The 18739-nt window shown below is 37.3% G+C and overlaps 1 protein-coding gene across 1 annotated transcript in view, besides 1 other annotated feature; it reads right to left on the bottom strand.

Annotated features, from left to right (window-relative positions):
- The window catches only part of CR1L (complement C3b/C4b receptor 1 like), a 78571-nt gene that overhangs the window by 27850 nt on the left and 31982 nt on the right, over positions 1-18739 (bottom strand). The window contains exons 2-5 of the mRNA NM_175710.2: positions 18286-18465; positions 17557-17656; positions 11897-11982; positions 1103-1501 (exon numbers count right to left, since the gene is read on the bottom strand). Coding sequence (NP_783641.1) covers positions 1103-1501; positions 11897-11982; positions 17557-17656; positions 18286-18465 — 765 coding nt within the window. The remainder of the gene's footprint in view (positions 1-1102; positions 1502-11896; positions 11983-17556; positions 17657-18285; positions 18466-18739) is intronic.
- Positions 3196-3490: a silencer, noted in NCBI's record as "tiled region #4693; HepG2 Repressive non-DNase unmatched - State 21:Repr, and K562 Repressive DNase matched - State 5:Enh". NCBI's record gives its function as "represses a minimal TATA promoter and a strong SV40 promoter by Sharpr-MPRA in HepG2 and K562 cells {active_cell/tissue: HepG2 | K562}" and the evidence as "EXISTENCE:reporter gene assay evidence [ECO:0000049][PMID:27701403]".

Below are 18739 nucleotides of genomic sequence, written 5' to 3'. Positions count from 1 at the left end.
TCTCTTGAGATCTGCTTGTTTAAAATGTGTAGCACCTCCCTAGTTGCTGTCTCCTGCCAGCCATATGAAAATATACATGCTTCCTCTTTGCCTTCCACCATGATTGTAAGTTTCCTGAGGAGTCTTCAGTCATTCCTCCTGTATAGCCTGCAGAACTGAGAGTTAATTAAACCTCTTTTCTTTATAAATTACCCAGTCTCAGGTAGTTCTTTATACAATGTGAGAAGAGTCTAATACAGCCTGCATGAAATCCCTCCCTCCTTGAAAGTATCTAGAGTAAGTTTTGATTTCCTGACTGGATGCTGACTAGCAAAGCCAAGTCTCTGGAGTCGGGTGGACTTGCGTTTCAGTCTTCAGTCTGCAAGTTAATATCTTAGAAAGTTATCCGATTTCTCTAAGGCACATTTTCTCTGCAAAACATAGAGGCCAGGCACAGTGGCTCATGCCTATAATCTCAGCACTTTGGGAGGCCCAGGTGGGTGGATTGCTTCAGCTCAGGTGTTCGAGACAAGCCTGGGAAACATGGTGAGATTCGATCTCTATAAAAAAAATATAAAAAATTTAACCAGGTGTGGTAGCATGCACCTGTAGTCCCAGCTGCTTGGGAGGCTCAGGCAGGAGAATTGCTTGAGCCAGGGAGGTGGCGGTTGCAGTAAGCCATGATCTCACCTCTGCAGTCCAACTTGAGTGACAGATCAAGACCCTGTCTCAAGCAAAACAAAACAGACAAACCTAGAAAAACTGGTAACTACCTAATAACTTTGTTTTAAGGATTAAAATTCACATGTAGCCTGTATTATGGTGCCTGGCTGGAAGAATCACTCATTTTCTATCAGCAGTTATTATACTCAAAGGTAATTAATAGATTTGCTTATAAGAACTCCAAAGAAACATCACGTTCCTTGTCCAGGTTTAGCTTTGCTTCTTCATTTCAGCACATCTGCATGTACACACACCTTCTGAATTTCATGTTCACTACCTAGAAAATTTGCTTCTCGACCCTGCTCAGCACAAATCCCTCCCCCTGAACAAATACTAATCTCCTGATCCAACAGCAATGCATGTCACTGGCAGGGCCCTTCTAGGCCTCAGTCAGACTCACCCCTGGAGCAGCTTGGTAACTCTGGCTCCCATTTGTTCAGGGCCTGGCACTTCACATGGGAGGGCCCTTTCATGCCAAAGCCAGGCTGACACCTAAACTCCACAACTTCATTTAAGGAAAATAAGCTTCTGTTGTCAGATACCAATATTCCATTTTCCACATTTGGAGGCGTGCATTTGTTAGGTATAATGCACTGAGGGGCTGGGCCACTCCAGATGCCCACTTGATCATCTTTGCTGGTGCAGTATATGGAGGGCTCACCCACAAGCTCAAACACCTTTTTCCCTCTGCTTCCAAGATTGCAGTGGTAGGTCACCACTGATCCATAGTGAAAATACTCTCTGCTGATGCTAGTGAAATCTCCATTGGCGATGGTGGGGGGTAGCCCACAAATAATTCCTGGGAAAGGAAGAGCACAGTCAATTTAAATAATGAATGACAAAAATCTCACGAGTCACTAAACTGTAACTATTTTTACATTCATTATTTGCTTTTATTCTTTGCTAACACGTAGGTACATTTTTACAAAGTTGTAATTTTGGTGGGGATAATATGATGTGTCCTGCCTTTCTTACTTATATGATTTCCTATAATATTTGCATGCATTTATTAACTCCATCCACATTCTTTTCATTTTAAATAGCCCTTTGATTATAGTATTATAGAGTTTATACAGTGTTCTCCTACTCTTTTCATTTGCTTTCTTAATTTGCATTTTTGTTAATAACTGAGGTTAGCCTTTTTAGAAAAATAAAATATAAAAACCTTTGCCAAAAGATAAAGTATAAGGGAAGAGAGAAGACACAAATATACACAGTAGGAAAAGGAATTTAAACATTTTTATGAATATGAGAATATTTATAAAACTGTAGACTACTGGGGGTTAAATATTTTGAAAATCTAAATGATATAAATGGAAACATAAATTGCCAATATTCATTCAAAAAGATTTAGAAAGCTAGAATTACCCAACAAACATGTAAGAATAAAAAAAAAAAGATAAGCTCTATTGAACTTTCAAGTAACAGATGCTTCCAAATGTAATTTCAATATTTCACAACACACAAGAGGTATAAAACTTATCAACTCATTTACTCAAATCTAAGTTTGATATAATAACATGATATCTGTGTAAAAGTGGTCATATATTAGTCCACAAAAACTCCTTAAATGCATGTTAAACATACAGACCAAGATATAGAAGAATAAAGCCTAGCATGTTTAAGTGAAGTCCTGCCATGAGAGGAGATAATAGACATAAACAACATTTGAAGAAGTAATAACTGAGAAATTTCCAAGACTGATGCAAGATTACAGATTCAAAAAGCTATACAGGCCTGGCGTGGTGGCTCATGCCTGTAATCTTAGCACTTTGGGTGGCCCAGGTGGGCAGATCACCTGAGGTCAGGGGTTTGAGACCAGCCTGGCCAACATGTTGAAACCCTGTCTCTACTAAAAATACAAAAATTAGCCAGGAATAGTGGCACAGGCCTGTAATCCCAGCTACCGAGGTGGCTGAGGTGGGAAGATTCCTTGAATCTGGGAGGTGGAGATTGCAGTCAGCCGAGATCGCGCCACTGCACTCCAGTTGTGCAACAAGATAAACCCAAGCAATACAAAGAAATACTTACCTAGACACAACATAGTAATATTGTAAAAAATCTATTTTAAAGTGTAATCCATAAAAGCAGCAGGAAACATAGACAATAACCTTCAAAGGAACCACAATTAGAAAAATGTTTAAAGAATTTGTTGTCAGAAGATCTACAATACAAAAATGCCAAAGAGACTTTTTCAGGCTGAAGGAAAATAGTTTCATATAGGATTGATAGAATTGCAATAAGAAGGAAACACACCAGAAAGAGCTCATATGCGGGTATGTTTTCATTTAGGATCTTTATGATAGAGAAAACCTCTTCAGTCATTACAAGAAACACAAGATGGAAGTAAAGATTTTATTACGGGCTGGGGGTATGGCACGCCTGAAGATCACAAAGAGGTTGGTCAGTGCGAGGAACGTAGAGAGAGAGAGAGAAGGGGATCCATCGGCCAATGCCTTTATTGGGGACCAGAGTATGACCCAGCATCTTGCATCTACAAGCCAAGGTATCTCCCATGGGGAGTTCTAATTGGTGAGTTTAAAGAAAGCAGGCACATGTTCCAGGCAGTCATGCTGCGACTGAGAGGTGGTCACGGCAGCATAACTGCGAAGTCCATGCAGGGCACAGAGGGCAGGGACGCTAGTCAAGTAGGTTTTATCTAGCTGTCCCATGGAGAGGTGGTCACCAGGAGGCAGTTGTATAAAGCAGATATCTGGCTCGACCACGTTGCAAAATTGGGAGGAGGTACAGAACTAGAAAGGGCATTAAGGGTGACTAAGCCCTGCTTCTGGCATGAGAAAGCTAAACATATTCTAAATGGATGCTGAGGCAACATAAAAATTCTAAGAATTCACTACGGTGTAAATATAAATAGATATTATTTTTATAAAGACAACAACAACAATTACGTCTTTGAAATATATAACATATGTAAATTGTTAAATCAAGTTTAGCCTAAAGCCTTACATAGTTTAAGCTCAGCCTAAAGGTTTCTCTGTAAACTGCGAATTATAACGAGTGAAGATGTAAACAGACCGTAGGTTACTCTTATGCCAATCACCGAGTTTTGGCCAATCAAATGTGGCTAACTGTTTGAACTGTCTTCAAATAAGCCAAACGCTGAGCTATAACCAATCGGGCTGTTTCTGTACCTCACTTCTGTTTTCTGTACGTCAGTTTCCTTTTTCTGTCCGTAAATCCTCTTCCACCACGCAGCTGGGCAGGAGTCTCTGAGCTTACTTTGGCTTGGAAGGCTGCCTGATTTGCGAATCGTTCATTGCTCAATTAAACTCTTTTAAATTTAATTCAGCTGAAGCTTTTCTTTTTACAAAACGTATGGCAACAATACAAAAAGAGGAGGAGGACACAAATGGAATTAAATATTAATAGTTTGGGTACTTGCGTTGTTTGGAGACTGGTAAAAGCACAATTTTAGTAGACTATAGTAAATCAAGGATGTCTGTCTCTAGAGTAGTGATTTAAGAATAAAAAATGAAATATAACTTAAAAGCTACTGGGGAAAATAGAATAATAAAAATACTTGATGAATTCAAAAATGTGAGAAATGAGGAATAAAGGCACAAACACATGAAACAAATAGAAAACAAATAACCAAGAGTTAGACTTATCAGTAACTAGATTAAATTTATTTATTTATAATTTTAACTTTTTATTATTAAATTTAAATGTTTCAAACACTAATGAACAACAAAGAAAGACTGAATAAAACAACAAAACTTTACCATATGATGTTTATAACAGACAAGCTTTAAATATAAGACAAAGAAGGGCTGAAAGTAAAAGATTTGAAATATATATAATATAAATACAAGAAAGAAAGCTGATATAGCTATATTAATGTACAAAGTAGATTTTAAGGCAAGAAGTATTATGAGAGGTAAAGAGAGACATTTCATTATGATAAAACAGTCAATTCAGCAGAAAGAATAAACAAAAAATTTAACAAATGCAATTATTTAAACATGCATTTAATAACATGTTTAAAATACATAAAGTAAAGATTGCTTAAAGATTGCTAGAACAAAGAGGAAAGACAGGCAAATTCATAGTCATAGTTGGGGATTGTAATGGGTTGAATAACCACTGTCCTCCTTAAAAAATATCTGTGTCCTAACCTAATCTCTGAAACCTGTGAATGTGACCCAGTTTGGAGAGTCTTTGTAGATACAATCAAATTAATGATCTTGAGTTGAGACCATTCTGGATTGCCAGGGTGGCTTCTAAATCCATGTCCAGTGTCTTTACAGGAGCCAGAAGAGCAAAGGACACACACAGAGGAGAAGGCGACTTGAAGATGGAGGCGGAAAACGAAATGATGCATCTACAAGCCAAGGAACATCAACGATTGCCAGCAGCCACTGGAAGGAAGCCTGAAGAGAGGCACAGAACAGCTTGCAGATGGAACCAATCCTATTGACATCTTAACTGGATTTCTGGCCTCCAAACTGTTGAGAGAGTAAATTTCTCTTCTTTGAAGCCACCAAGTTTGTGGTAATTTGTTACAGCAGCCCTGGGAAACTAATACAGATATTTTACACATGCTTCTCCATAACTGAGAGAACAAGTGGAGGGAGAAAAAAAGTCTGTTCTAAACCACATTTTCCTAAATGACATTTCTAGAAAATGAAACAAAATAACTGTACAGTCTTTTCAAGTGCATATGTAACATTTTACCAAAATCATCCATATTCTGGGCCATAAACCATGTCTCAAATGATTGAATTAATGAAAGAATGATAACTAGAAGATCTCCAAATATTTAGAAATTAAGCAATGCCCTTCTAAATAGCCTATGGGTCAAAGAAGACATCAAAAGGTAAATTAGAAAACTTTTATGTACAATGATAATAAAAATATAAAGATTGTGGGAAGTAAAATAGTTTTAGAGAAAAATGTATAGGTTAAATGTATATATTAGAAAAATAAAGGTTGAAAACAAATTATCTAATCAATATCAAGAATTTAGGAGTGGAGGAGTACACAAAGCTTAAAGAAAGTAGAAGAAAATAAGCAGAAATCAGTAAAAGAGAAAATAGTCACACTTTAAAGAAAAAACAAGAAAGTTAAAAGTAGTTTATATGAAAAGCTTAGTAAACTTGATAAAGCCCCAGTAAAACTAATTAAGGAAAAAGAAGCAAAAAGATATTACCAATATCAGAAATTAATTAGCATAGGAGTACCACTACAGAATTTACAGACATCCAAAGGATTTCTGAGGATATAATAAATAGCATTATGCTAATAACCTAGAAAATTTAAATAAAATGAGTAAATTCCTTGAAAAATATAACTTACCCAAACTAATTCAATACGATATAAAATAATACTTTTATAGCTATTAAAGAAATTGAATCACTAATTTAAAACCTAACAACAACAACAACAAACCCTCAGGTCCAGATTGCTTCATTGCTGAATTCTTCCAAACATATAAGGAAAAATAATATTAATGTTACACAAATTATTCCGGAGACTAGAAAAAAATAAACAATTTTTAACACATTTTACTAGCCCAACATAATCTTGATGCCCAAACCTGATAAGGACATTAAAATAAAACCAAATTATAACCAAAGATCTCTTGAGAACATAAATGCAAATTTTCTAAACAAAATATTATGAAACTGAATCCAGCAATATTTCCAAAGGATGATACAATGATCAAAGTGAGGTTTACCTTGACTGATTTTAAATATTAAATCAATGTTACAACGTTACAATAAAAATATGAGCAATCCTGCACACACACACCACACACACACTCACACACATTTCATAGATAGGATAATCATCTATAACACATCACAAGCAACATAGGTTGATTCTAGGAATTCAGAGTTTGTTTGCCCTTTAAAGATCAATCAATGTAATATATTACATTAACAGAGTGAAAAAGAAACATGATAATCTCAATACATGCAGAGTGATCAATTAGAATGAACATTCATGATAAATCTTTTAGCAATCAGAAGTAAAGGGGAGTTTCCTTAATCTAATAAAGGATATCATACAAAAATCTACAGCATACATCATGATTTGTGATAACCATTAAAAGGCTTGTATCATCTCTTCTATTCAATGTTGTACTGGAGGTTCTAGCCAATGCAATAAAGCAGATGAAATAAACAAAAGACATAAGAAAGGAAAAGATTTAAAAACTTTGTCAGATTCATAGATGACATAATTATGCAGCAACTTCAAAAGATATACAGAAAAACTATTCAATTTAAAAGTAAATTTAATAAAATTGCTGGAGCTGAGGTGAAACCAGTGCATATCTAAGAAGTAAATAGAGAATAAAATTTTAAAAATAATATGTAGTAATAAAGATAATGAAAGATGTACATGACTTCTATAAGGTAAATTAACAAATATTTTTAAAAGAAATTAAAGAAGACTTCAAAAATGGGAGGATATATCATGTTCATAAATTTAAACTTCAAAACTAAATTTGTTAATGTCTACAAATTGATGTACTAAGTCAATAGAAACTCAATACAAATTCAAGTAGGATTCTTTTTGTGGAAATTGACAAGCTGATTCTAAATTTTATATGGTAATGCAAAGTGCCAAGAATCACCAAGTAAATCTTGAAGATGCACATAGTTAGAAGATATATGCCACCAGATATCAAATATTAATGTCATGCTATAGTAATTAAAATCTTAATGTAATGCTACAGTTTTTTTTGCCATTATAGTATGGCAAAAAACTAAACCAAACAAAAACACAATGTATGGCAAATAAACCAGTGGAACAGAACCTCCCTGGAATGACATCCACATATAGGTCACCTGACTTATGGCCATGGTGCAACATTTAATAAATGATATTAGATCAATTGCCTATCCATAAGAAACAGGGTCTCACTCTGTCACCTGGACTGGAGTGCAGTGGTACCATCATAACCCACTGAAGCCTTGAACCCCTGTGCTCAAGGGATCCTCCCACCTCAGGCTCCCAAGTAGCTGGGACTTACAGGCATGTGCCACTGAGCCCAGCTAATTTTATTTTATTTTTTGTAGAGACAGGGTCTCGCTTTGTTGCCCAGGCTGGTCTCGAACTCCTGGCTTCAAGCAATCCTCCTGCCTTGGCCTCCCAAAGTGCTAGGATTATAGACGTGAGCCACCTCACCTGGCCCAATTGCCTAAGTAGAATAGAAAAAGCAGTAACTGGAAAAAAAGACCCATAAATTGAATATTATTAAAATGTAGAACTTACTACAACAGAAGACATCATTAAGAAGGGAAAAAGAAAAAGAAAAGCCATAGCCTGAAAGACAACATTTGTGTTACATTTATTAGAAAACAAGAGAATATTTAAACAACTTCTACAAAACAATAAAATCATAGACAAACCAGTAAATAACAGACAAAAGTTTGGAATAGGCCCTTCACAAACATATGAAAAGGTACTCAAGATCATCAGTGAAATACAATATAATAATAAAAAAACTGACCATCCTTCATGCAGCAACAAAAGTGACTTCCAAATATAACACTGAGCAGAAGCCGGACACAGAAGAGTACCTATTTTTTGATTCCTTTATAAAATTTAGGAAGCAGCAAAACTATTAGTGTTATAAATCAGAATAGCGGTTACTTTGGGAAGATAACTGGGAAAGGGCATCAGGAAGGCTTCTGGGGTGCTGATAATGTTCTATATCTTAATCTGAGTGCCACTTACATGGGTGCATTTAATTTGTAAATATCTACTGAACTGCATAATTAAGATGTGTGCACTTTACTACATATATATGTTATACTTCAGCAAAAAGTCTACATGGTACAAGAAAATTGTTGGAATAAAAAAAGACCTCCCAACAAAGTAAACTCCAGGCTATATGGCTTTTCCAGTGAATTCTTTTAAACATTTAAAGAAGAAATAATACCAATTTTATATAAACTCTTACAAGGAAGCAAATATATGAAACACTACCAGCTGGCTTTATAAGACTGTCATAAGTTTGATATCAAAATCTTATGAGGACATTACAAGAAAGAAAATTACAGTCTAATCTCTAAAACAGGAATGGGATGATGAAAGTGTTCCGGAATTAATTGGCGGTGCTGGTTGCCCAATGTCTTAGTCTATTTGGGCTGTTATAACAAAATACTATAAACTGGTTAGCTCATACACAACAAAAATTTATTTCTCATAGTTGTGGAGGCTAAGGAGTTCAGGACCAACCTCTCTGGCAGATTCAGCATTTCTTCCCATGGCAGGAGGGGCAAAGGAGCTCTTCTGGGCCTCTTTTATTAGGACGCTAATCCCATTCGTGACAGCTCTGCTCTCATGATCTCATCACCTTCCAAAGGCCTCACTCCCTAATGTCATCACCTTAGGGGTAAAGATTTCAACATATGGATTTGGGGTGGACTCAAACATTCAGACCGTAATATACAACTTTATGAATATACTAAATACCACTGAATTGTGTAATTTGAAAAGGTAACTTTTATGATACATGAATTATACTTTAATAGAAACATATAAAATGTATTATAAAAGGGTATTTGTTATATATAAAAATGATTAAGTATTGACTTAGTTGATTTTAAGAATGTAAAATTGAAATTCAAAATTATTTGCCTTTCAAAAATGTACTCAAAACAGTTTGTTACATTAACAGAAAAAAGAGAAACAGATATGATTACATCGATACATATAACTAAAGTGCTCGATAAACTTCAACATGTTTCAAAGACAAAAAATTTTTAATAATGAAGAGTATATGAGAATGTCCTTAATTCAAAAATGGTTACCTACAAAAAGCCTACTGTAAACACCAGGTTAATGGTGAAATGTTTTAATCCTTCCCTTTGAGATGTGGAACAAGACAAGGATGACATCTATTGCTACCAATGTTCAATGTTATACTGGTGGTCCTAGCCGTGTGGTAAAGAAGAAAGAAAATAAGGAGAAGGAAAGGAGGGAAGGAGGGAAGGAGGGAAGGAAGGAAGGAAGGAAGGAAGGAAGGAAGGAAGGAAGGAAGGGAGGGAGGAAGGGAGGGAGGGAGGGAGGAAGGAAGGAAAGGAGGGAGGAAGGGAGGGAGAAAGGAAGGAAGCAAGCAAAGAAGGAAGGCAAGCAGGCAGGCAGAAGGGAAGGAGGGAAGGAAAGAAAAGAAGACAAAGAGTTAAATAAAATTATAATTATCTGGTGGTTTTGTACAGTGTCAACCAGGCCAATTTGGAATTAAGTTTTCCAGACTTACTTTCTCTGTACGGTTCTGGACTAGGGTTACAGCATGAGAAATTAGCCTGATATTTGAGAGGCAGAGGTTAAGCAACAGCCATTCCACTCTGAAAGTCACATCCTTGGATAGAGCTGGTGAGGCACATGCAGGAGTGGAGGGTTCAGAAGACAGACCTTTTACTGGAGGCTTGAGAAAAACATTCACACGGGGAGTTTCAGCATCCTCTGCGATGGCTCATTCTCTGTAGGCCAGGAATGACAGTGGGAACTGTTGCCATTGAACTGGGTTCTCTGAATTCACTTGGGGACCAAAGGAGCTCAGGGTGACAGAGTCCAATTGGCAGCACTTAATTGCCAGAGACAATTGTAATGGCTATTAGAACTGAAACAGCAATCAGAATGATTTGACTGAAGAGAACATTGTTATTGGGCTAATTGATCATGGAGTCTCTAAAACCGAAGTAGAGGGATAGCCGACTAAGGTGTTATTTGATTTGTATAAGCATAAGAGATTTAGGTCAAGTGAATTGAAGTCTGACTTGAATTATTGCAAAAGAAGTTCATTGTTCATCAACAATTCCTAGACTTGAATAGTTTATAGACCCAGAGCAGCACCAACGGATGGGAGACTGGATTCTCTTGAGGAAGCACCATGCTACGCAGTCAAAAGCATGTATTGTAAATCTTCCCCTAGCCTTCTCCAAGAAGACTTACAGCCATTTACCAGGATTTGGATATAGAGAGTTTACAGAACTAGAAACAGAGATAAAAATATAGATATAGGTATAGGTGTATTATTATATTGTTTGTTTTTTCTATTTTACTAATTTTTTTTAATATTTCCAAGAAAATTCCTATTCCAATTCCATGTTATCTTATTACAGATTTCAAATAAGATGGAAGGTTTCCCAATTTGTTTTACAAAATAGCAAAACTGTTTCTTAAAGTGGATAAACAGCAATAAATGTGTGACCAATGTCATTTGTAAATTTAGATTCTGAAGCTCGTAAACTTTCTAGTAAAAGTAACAACATTTTTAAATACCAAGAAGAAAAGTAAAGAAGTCCCCAAGTTATCCAAAGAGAAGAGTAAGACAAAGATGTTATACACTGCATTTCTCTCAGCCTCAGCCTGGCCCTCACTACATAGGTGTATTTTTTTTTAATAAAATGAGATCTTGCCATATATGCCGTTCATCTGATTCTTTTTCCACATAAAACACATCTCTTTCTAGTCATTAAGTGCTTCTTTATGCTATCATTTTTTATGGCTGAATACCATGCCAGTGTATGGATATACTTATTTTCATTCTGCATAGCTATTTCATGTTTCTTAGGGAATTCTTTGTAATGGTCATTTGAACACATCTTTTTCCTACTAGTAGATTATTTCCAAACCATAGTTTAAAATATTTAGGTTACTCTAACATTTTAACTAATATAAATAATGCTGCAATGAAAAGTTTATACCAAACTGCTTTAAAAAGTGTGTGATTATTTCCTAAGTATAAATTCTAAGAAGTAGGTTAAAATACATGCCCACTTCTGAGGTTTATAGTGCATGGGGCCTTTCAAGAGGATGTGTTGATCTCGTGGTACATGAGAGTCCAGGTTCTTCCACAGCTTCGCTAACCTTGAAGAGTATCAATTTTTAAAATCTTTACTGATTTGCCAAGCAGGATGATTATTATACTGGAGGTGGTAGAACCAACATAATTTCAAGTTTATTGAAGTAAAATCAAGTTTGAAGCCTTTTACGTATTTAGGCCCCTAGAATTAGAAAAGACACATCCCAGGATAAGAAAGAACTTAAAGAAAGAGTTGCCAGGAACCCCATAGGAATATCTGAGAACATTATGGCTGTCTTCAGCCATGTGAAGTACAGATTGCACAGAAGGAATTCGGTTAAGATTTTTATTATTCCAGAGAAAAATTAGAATGTATCGGTAAAAGAAATAGGAATGCATATTTCAACTCACTGTCACAAACAGGTGTTTTATTATCCCAAATGACAGTGTTGCCTGAGATGATGCATGTGGCAGACGAGGAACCAATGAGTCGGTATCTAGAGGCAAAAAATAAGGAATGTTACATTCTAAATACACAGGTCAACTACCCAATTAAATTACTACTTCCAGAGATTACACTCTTATAGAATTCAGAGGGACATTTTCCACTTGTCAAAGAATTGTCTATCACCTTCCCAAATTTCACATTCTTGGGACTTTGTCATTTTCTCTTCCATGCCTTCTCAGTTGGATGGGATTTCTCTTTTTTATTATCTTATGACACATTTTTATATAAATCAAAGATGAGTTACAGTTTTTCCTATAAATTTCATTTTTTTAAAAGACAACACAAGCTTCTTGAGTGCAGGGAAGCTGTCATATATATACATATGTATGTGTGTATGTAGTCCTGTTGTATGTATTTCTATGCCTTATAAGTATTAATATATGGATGCATGGATGGGCTTTTATCAGTAAGATTCATCTAAGTAGGCCATTCACAGTGGCTCACGCCTGTAATCCCAGCACGTTTGGAGGCTGAGGTAGGAGGACTGCTTGAGCTCAGGAGTTCGAGAGAAGCCTGGGCAACATAGTGAGACCCTGTCTCAACAAAAATTTTATTAAAAAGCCACGCATGGTGGCACATTCCTGTAGTCCTAGCTACTCAGAAGGCTGAGGCAGGAAGATCGCTTGAGCCTGGGAGATTGAGGCTGCAGTGAGTGTTGATCATGCCACTGCACTCCAGTCTGGGCAATAAAGCAAGACCTTGTCAGTAGGAAAGAAAGGGGCGGGGTAGAGAGAGAGAGAGAGTCAGAGGGAGAGAGAGAGAGAAAGAGAAAGAGAGAAAGAAAGAAAGAGAAAGAAAGAAAGAAGGAAGGAAGGAGGGAAGGAAGGAAGGAAGGAAAGAAAGAAAGAAAAAGAAAGAAAGAAAGAAAAAAAGAAAGAAAGAAAGAAAGAAAGAAAGAAAATGATTTATAACTAGAACCAAAGGCAATCCAAGCTGACCAAAAAGAACTGAACACTTATTTTATACTTAAAATGTTAAAGTTAGCAATTCTCAATTAGTATGTCTCAAACTGTTCAAAGTGTGCCATAAATTTGGAAGAATTTATAACATTTATTTTACTTCACCTGAGACCCTCTGTTGTGATAGATGGTTGGGCCAAACTAGTCATAGTGAGGGTAGGCTCAAACTTGATAGTACTATACATGAATGAAGCAATGTCAAGTAACAGTCATGGTTATTGGAATGGCTGAGAACTTTGTTTTACAAATATGTAGGAAAACCTGGCAGCATAAAGCTTTATTCAAACAACGAAACAGTGCCAAATGGAGATCAAATGAATAGTGAGACAACAGTGGGTCCTTCTGCAGACACTTGACACATTGTTACATTATAGTAGCTATTATGTTGTAATTATTAGTGACTTCGATATCATTTTGGTTATTTATTATTATTATTATTTTTGAGATAGAGTTTCACTCTTGTCGCCCAGGCTGGAGTGCAATGTCACTGCAACCTCCACCTCCCAGATTCAAGTGATTCTCCTGCCTCAGCCTCTCAAGTAGCTGGGATTACAGGTGCACGCCACTATGCCTGGCTAATTTTTGTATTTTTAGTAAAGACGGGGTTTCATCATGTTGACTAGGGTGGTCTTGAATTCCTGACCTCAGGTGATTTCTCCCACCTCAGCCTCCCAAAGTGCTGGGATTACACGCATGAGCCACTGCGCCTGGACTCATTTTGTTTTTTAAAATTAATTAATCAATTAATTAATTTTTATTATACTTTAAGTTCTGGGGTACATGTGCAGAATGTGCAGTTTTGTTACATAGGTATACATGTGCCATGGCGGTTTGCTGCACCCGTCAACCGGTCACCTACATTAGGTATTTCTCCTAGTGCTATCCCGCCCCTAGCCCCCCACCCACCAACAGGCCCCGGAGTGTGATGCTCCCCTCCCTGTGTCCATGTATTCACATTGTTCAATTCCCACTTCTCATTTTGTTTTTTAATGCCTTCTAGTACACCACCAAAAATGAAAGCATTCTCAATTGCACTGCCAACACACATGCACACAAATAGAGAACAAATGAAGTAAACAAGTCTGCAATCCTATATTTGTACCTCCTTCTATTTGTCTTAAGAACAAGACATCCTGGAGACTCTGGCTTTTGACCCCACTGAGGTTATTTCTCAAAGTGTTCTTTTTGATTTTCTAATCATGGGGGTTGGGATAGGAATGGTGAAGCAAGTTCAAACTTAAATTGGCATTTTTTTTCCTCCATACTATTGTTCAGTGTTGTAGTACTGAACATTTTAAATATGAGTCAAAGGATAACTTTATGTTCACTGATCAAAGGGAACAGATAGAAGAATATTTTAATTTATTAAACTTGTGTCCCAAAGTAGATTAAGTACTTGAACAAATAATGGTTTGAACTTTTCTCATTCAGAATGTTTGTGAGGAAGTAAGGCAGAGAGACAAAATCCATGCTACTTATTTTAAGGAGAGCCAGGGACTCTCATATCCATTTAAACAGATTGAAGCCTTTACATCCTACCCTACCTTTTTGGATCTCCTGGGGAAGAGAGAGTTGTGGATTCACAAAGTTAAGCCATGGTTCAGGAAAAGCCATGATCATTTCGTTTCCAGAAACCACATACAGGATGTGGGTGAACATGTCTAGACTTTTGGGAGTCTCCTCCCCAGGGCCCGAAGAGGGACAGTGAAGCCTGGGATATTAGTCCCATTTCCATTTTCCTTCTTAATCTATGTGCCTTGAACCAGGTGGTTGGGTTAGGAAAAAATGAGAATAAAAAACAAATCCTGTGAATTGTTTAGGTTAGCACATTGTTAACCTTAAATAATGAGATTCAGAAAATATATTTAAGGATAGAGTTTATTTGAGCACACAGCTTAAGGGTAGCCACCTGGAAGACACCAACTCCAAATGAATGGGGTCAGCATTCCAAAGTGGAGGACGTAAGGTATCACTTACATAGGCAGAGACAGAGAAATTTTAGCAGGATTATATTTTCCATATGGGACCATGCATAGTTACATCACTTTGATTGGTTACATATTGCTACATTCCAAGGAAGATTATTGCTCCCTGAAAAGGCGTAGTGATCTGAGTGGGTCTTATCTCTGGCGCCATTTGGTTTTAACTATTCACAGGATAAAAAGGCAGAAGTTACAGCTGCCTGCTGCATGACTCAGGCTGCATAGCCACAGTCTTCTCATGGCTCAGAATAATTTAAAGTTCTCCCAGCTATAAGTTTGAATTGTTTTAAGTTCGAATGATTTAATTTCACAATATACAATTCTTTGGTAGGAAGCCCATGCCCTTGGAAATTTAGTAGTAACTTAAAAAAAAAATTTTTTTATTTTGAGATAATCAGATTCCCATGCAGTTGTAGGGAATAGCACAGAAAGATCCCAGGTACACTTTACTCAATTTTCCCCTAATAATAACATTTTGCAAAACAATAGTGCAACATCAAACTCAAGATATTGAGACAGGTATGATCCACCAGTTTTGTTCAAATTTCCTGTTTTACCTGTACTCGACTGTGTGCGTGTCTGTTTATGCACATGTGCCTGTGTATTTACTTTTATGTAGTTTAAAAAAAAATAGACTTTGTGTTTTAGCACAAGTTTTTGGTTCACAGCAATAATGAACAGAAGATACAGAGATTTCCTATATACTCCCTGCCCCTATACATGGATAGCCTCCCCTATTATAAACATCTTTCACCAGGGTGGTAAATATTTTTTGCAACTGATGAACCTACGCTGACACATCATGGTCACCCCAAGTCCATAGTTTATCTTAGGGTCCACTCTTGGTATTGTACATCATATGACTTTGGATAAATTTATTATGACATGTACCTACTGTTATGGCATCATACAGAGTAGTTTCACTACCCTCAAAATCCTCTGTGCTCTGCCTATTCATCCCCTTCTTCCCTAACCCCTGGCAACTGCTGATCTTTTTACATCTCTATAGTTTTGCCTTTTCCAGAATGGTGTATAGTTGGAATCATATACTATATAGGCTTTTCAGATTGGCTTCTTTCACTTAGTAATAGTGAAAGAAGATTCATTATTTAAGGTTCCTCTATGTCTCTTCATGGCTTGATAGCTCATTTCTTTTTGGTATTGAATAATATTCTATTGTATGCATGTACCACAGTTTATCCATTCCCTTGCTAAAGGACATCTTGATTGCTTCCAAGTTTTGGCAATTATGAATAAAGCTGTTATAAACATCTGTGTGCAGATTTTTTTGTGTGTGAACCTGAGATTTCAATTCCTTTAGATAAATACCAAGGAGGATAACTGCTGGATAATATGTTAAGAGTATGTTTATTTTTATACAAAACTGCCAAAATGTCTTTCAAAGTCATGGTGCCATTTTGCATTCCTACCAGCAATGCATGAGAATTATGTTCCCCTCACCCCTGAAATATATGGATGTCTTAATCCCCAGTTCCTATTAATGTGACCTTATTTGGAAATACGGTCTTTGCAGAGGCAATCAAGTTAAGATGAAGTTGTTAGTGTGGGCCCCAATCCAATATGACTGGTGTCCTTATTGAAAGAGAGAATTTTGGGCTGGGTGCGGTGGCTCATGCCTGTAATCCCAGCACTTTGGGAGGCCGGGAGGTGGGCGGATCATGAGATCAGGAGATCGAGACCATCCTGGCTAACATGGTGAAATCCTGTCTCTACTAAAAATACAAAAAAAAAAAAAAAAAAAAAAATGGTGGTGGGCACCTGTTGTCCCAGCCTACTCAAGAGGCTGAGGCAGGAGAATGGCAGGAACCCGGGAGGTGGAGCTTGCAGTGAGCCGAGATCTCGCCACTGCACTCCAGCCTGGGCAACAGAGCCAGACTCCATCTCAAAAAAAAAAAAAAAAAAGAACTTTGGACACAGACATGCACAGATAAGAGAACAGCATAGGAGGACAGAGACCCAGAGGGAAGACAGCCATGTGAGGACAGACAGAGACAGAAACTGGAGTTCTGCTGCCACACGCCAAGGCCTGGGGCTTCAGAAACTGGAAGAAGCAAAGAAGGATCCATCCCTACAGGTTTTGGAGGGAGCATGGCTATGGATCTGGCTCTGGCTCTGCCAATATCTTGATTTTGTACTTCCAGCCTCCGGAACAGAACTCCAAAAACTTTGTTTGTATTAAGCCGCCTGTTTTGGAGTACTCTGTTACAGCAGCCCTAGCAAACTATTTGTGCTATGACCATTAAGATTTCTCTCACACAGCTGCTCAATGGCCTTCCCTTTCTTTGAGCAATGTCTAATCTGTGTTAAGGCTGATTGTGTGCTTTGACTATACTCTTCCCCCATTTTCTTCCTTCCCACCCAATGAATGCCACACTTTTCATATATGCTCTGCCTTGGTTTCCAGCAAGGATACAGATGATTTTCCCCCTGATCTTGTCATACCTTTGTCCATTTCAGTCAGGAGCTAAGCACCTGTGTTGAAGCCTTTAAAGAGCAGATGGTAATAGTTTAGTTGTCCTTTCTGAGATGTGACTAGAAGGTAGTATGGCTGTGTTAGAACCCTTGAACCAAGAGATGTTGGTTCAAGAGATGCCAACTCACCCTTTAGGACAAGAATATTTAATTTGGGATCTGAACTGGATGTCTTTGATCACATGTGCCATGCCATTCACAGGATCTGGAGGATTACGACATGATTTACCTACAGGAAAGAAACAGAAATTTGAAGCCAAGTAGAGTAAACTGAATTTTTTTTTAGTACATAAGGTCTCAACCTGCCTATAGCTTACTGAGGAACACATGCAGTTCTGATGGTTCCACAGATTTTGCTACCTTGAGGAAACTCACCAGACTGCCTCAGGATCAGCTCCCTTTCAAAAAAAGCTTTCCTTTCAGATCTGTTTCATCCCCATATTATGCCTCCCAGAAAAATGTAAACTTCGTTATTATCTGTAATTCAATTCAACTGATATAATCCAAAGATCTCAAGGCCCAAGATTGTCGCATCTTTTAGTTATTTAATCCACTTCTCTTTCTTGTCCCAAGTCATTCATTACTTAATTTTAGTCATGAAAATGGGAGACCCCCAGTGAATGGGGGTTTTCCCTCAATCATGTCCTGCAATGACGGTTTCTCATGAAATAAACTTGTAATGAAGGTGCCAGGAACTCAAAGCAGTAACAAGGTATGATCTACAAGAATAATTCTCATATGTATTGCACCTTAGCAAACTAATTGTTGTATGCAACTCAGTTACAAAATTTGAACAAATTGAATCAGATCTTACAGATGTTTGACTAACAGAGGGGTTCCCACTCCAGAGTTACTTACGTTTGCACTTGTCCTTAGCACTTGTCCAGACTGAGTTTTTTAGGCAGATGATAGAAAACGGTCTTCCGGAATAACCAGGGCGGCATTCATAGTTCAGATATGTCCCAATGGGAAACTCAAAGTCATCAGTTAGGTTGGTAGGCCTGGCAAATGGAAGCCATTCCGGGACATTGCATTGATCTGGGGATCAAGACCACAGCAGCATCGAAGTTAATGGAGAAATTACCATACTTTTTTTTTTTTTTTTTTTTTTTTTTTTTTGTGACAGAGTCTCCCTCTGTCACCCAGGCTGGAGTGCAGTGGTGCGATCCTCTGCCTCACAGGTTCAAGCAATTCTCCCTGCCTCAGCCTCCTGAGTAGATGGGATTACAGGCGCCTGCCATCACATCCGGCTAATTTTTGAATTTTTAGTAGAAACAAGGTTTCACCGTGTTGGCCAGGCTCAAACTCCTGA

Source organism: Homo sapiens, chromosome 1, assembly GCF_000001405.40.
Source record: "Homo sapiens chromosome 1, GRCh38.p14 Primary Assembly".
Taxonomy (NCBI): Eukaryota; Metazoa; Chordata; class Mammalia; order Primates; family Hominidae; genus Homo; species Homo sapiens.
This window is presented reverse-complemented; position numbering and strand designations above follow the sequence as displayed.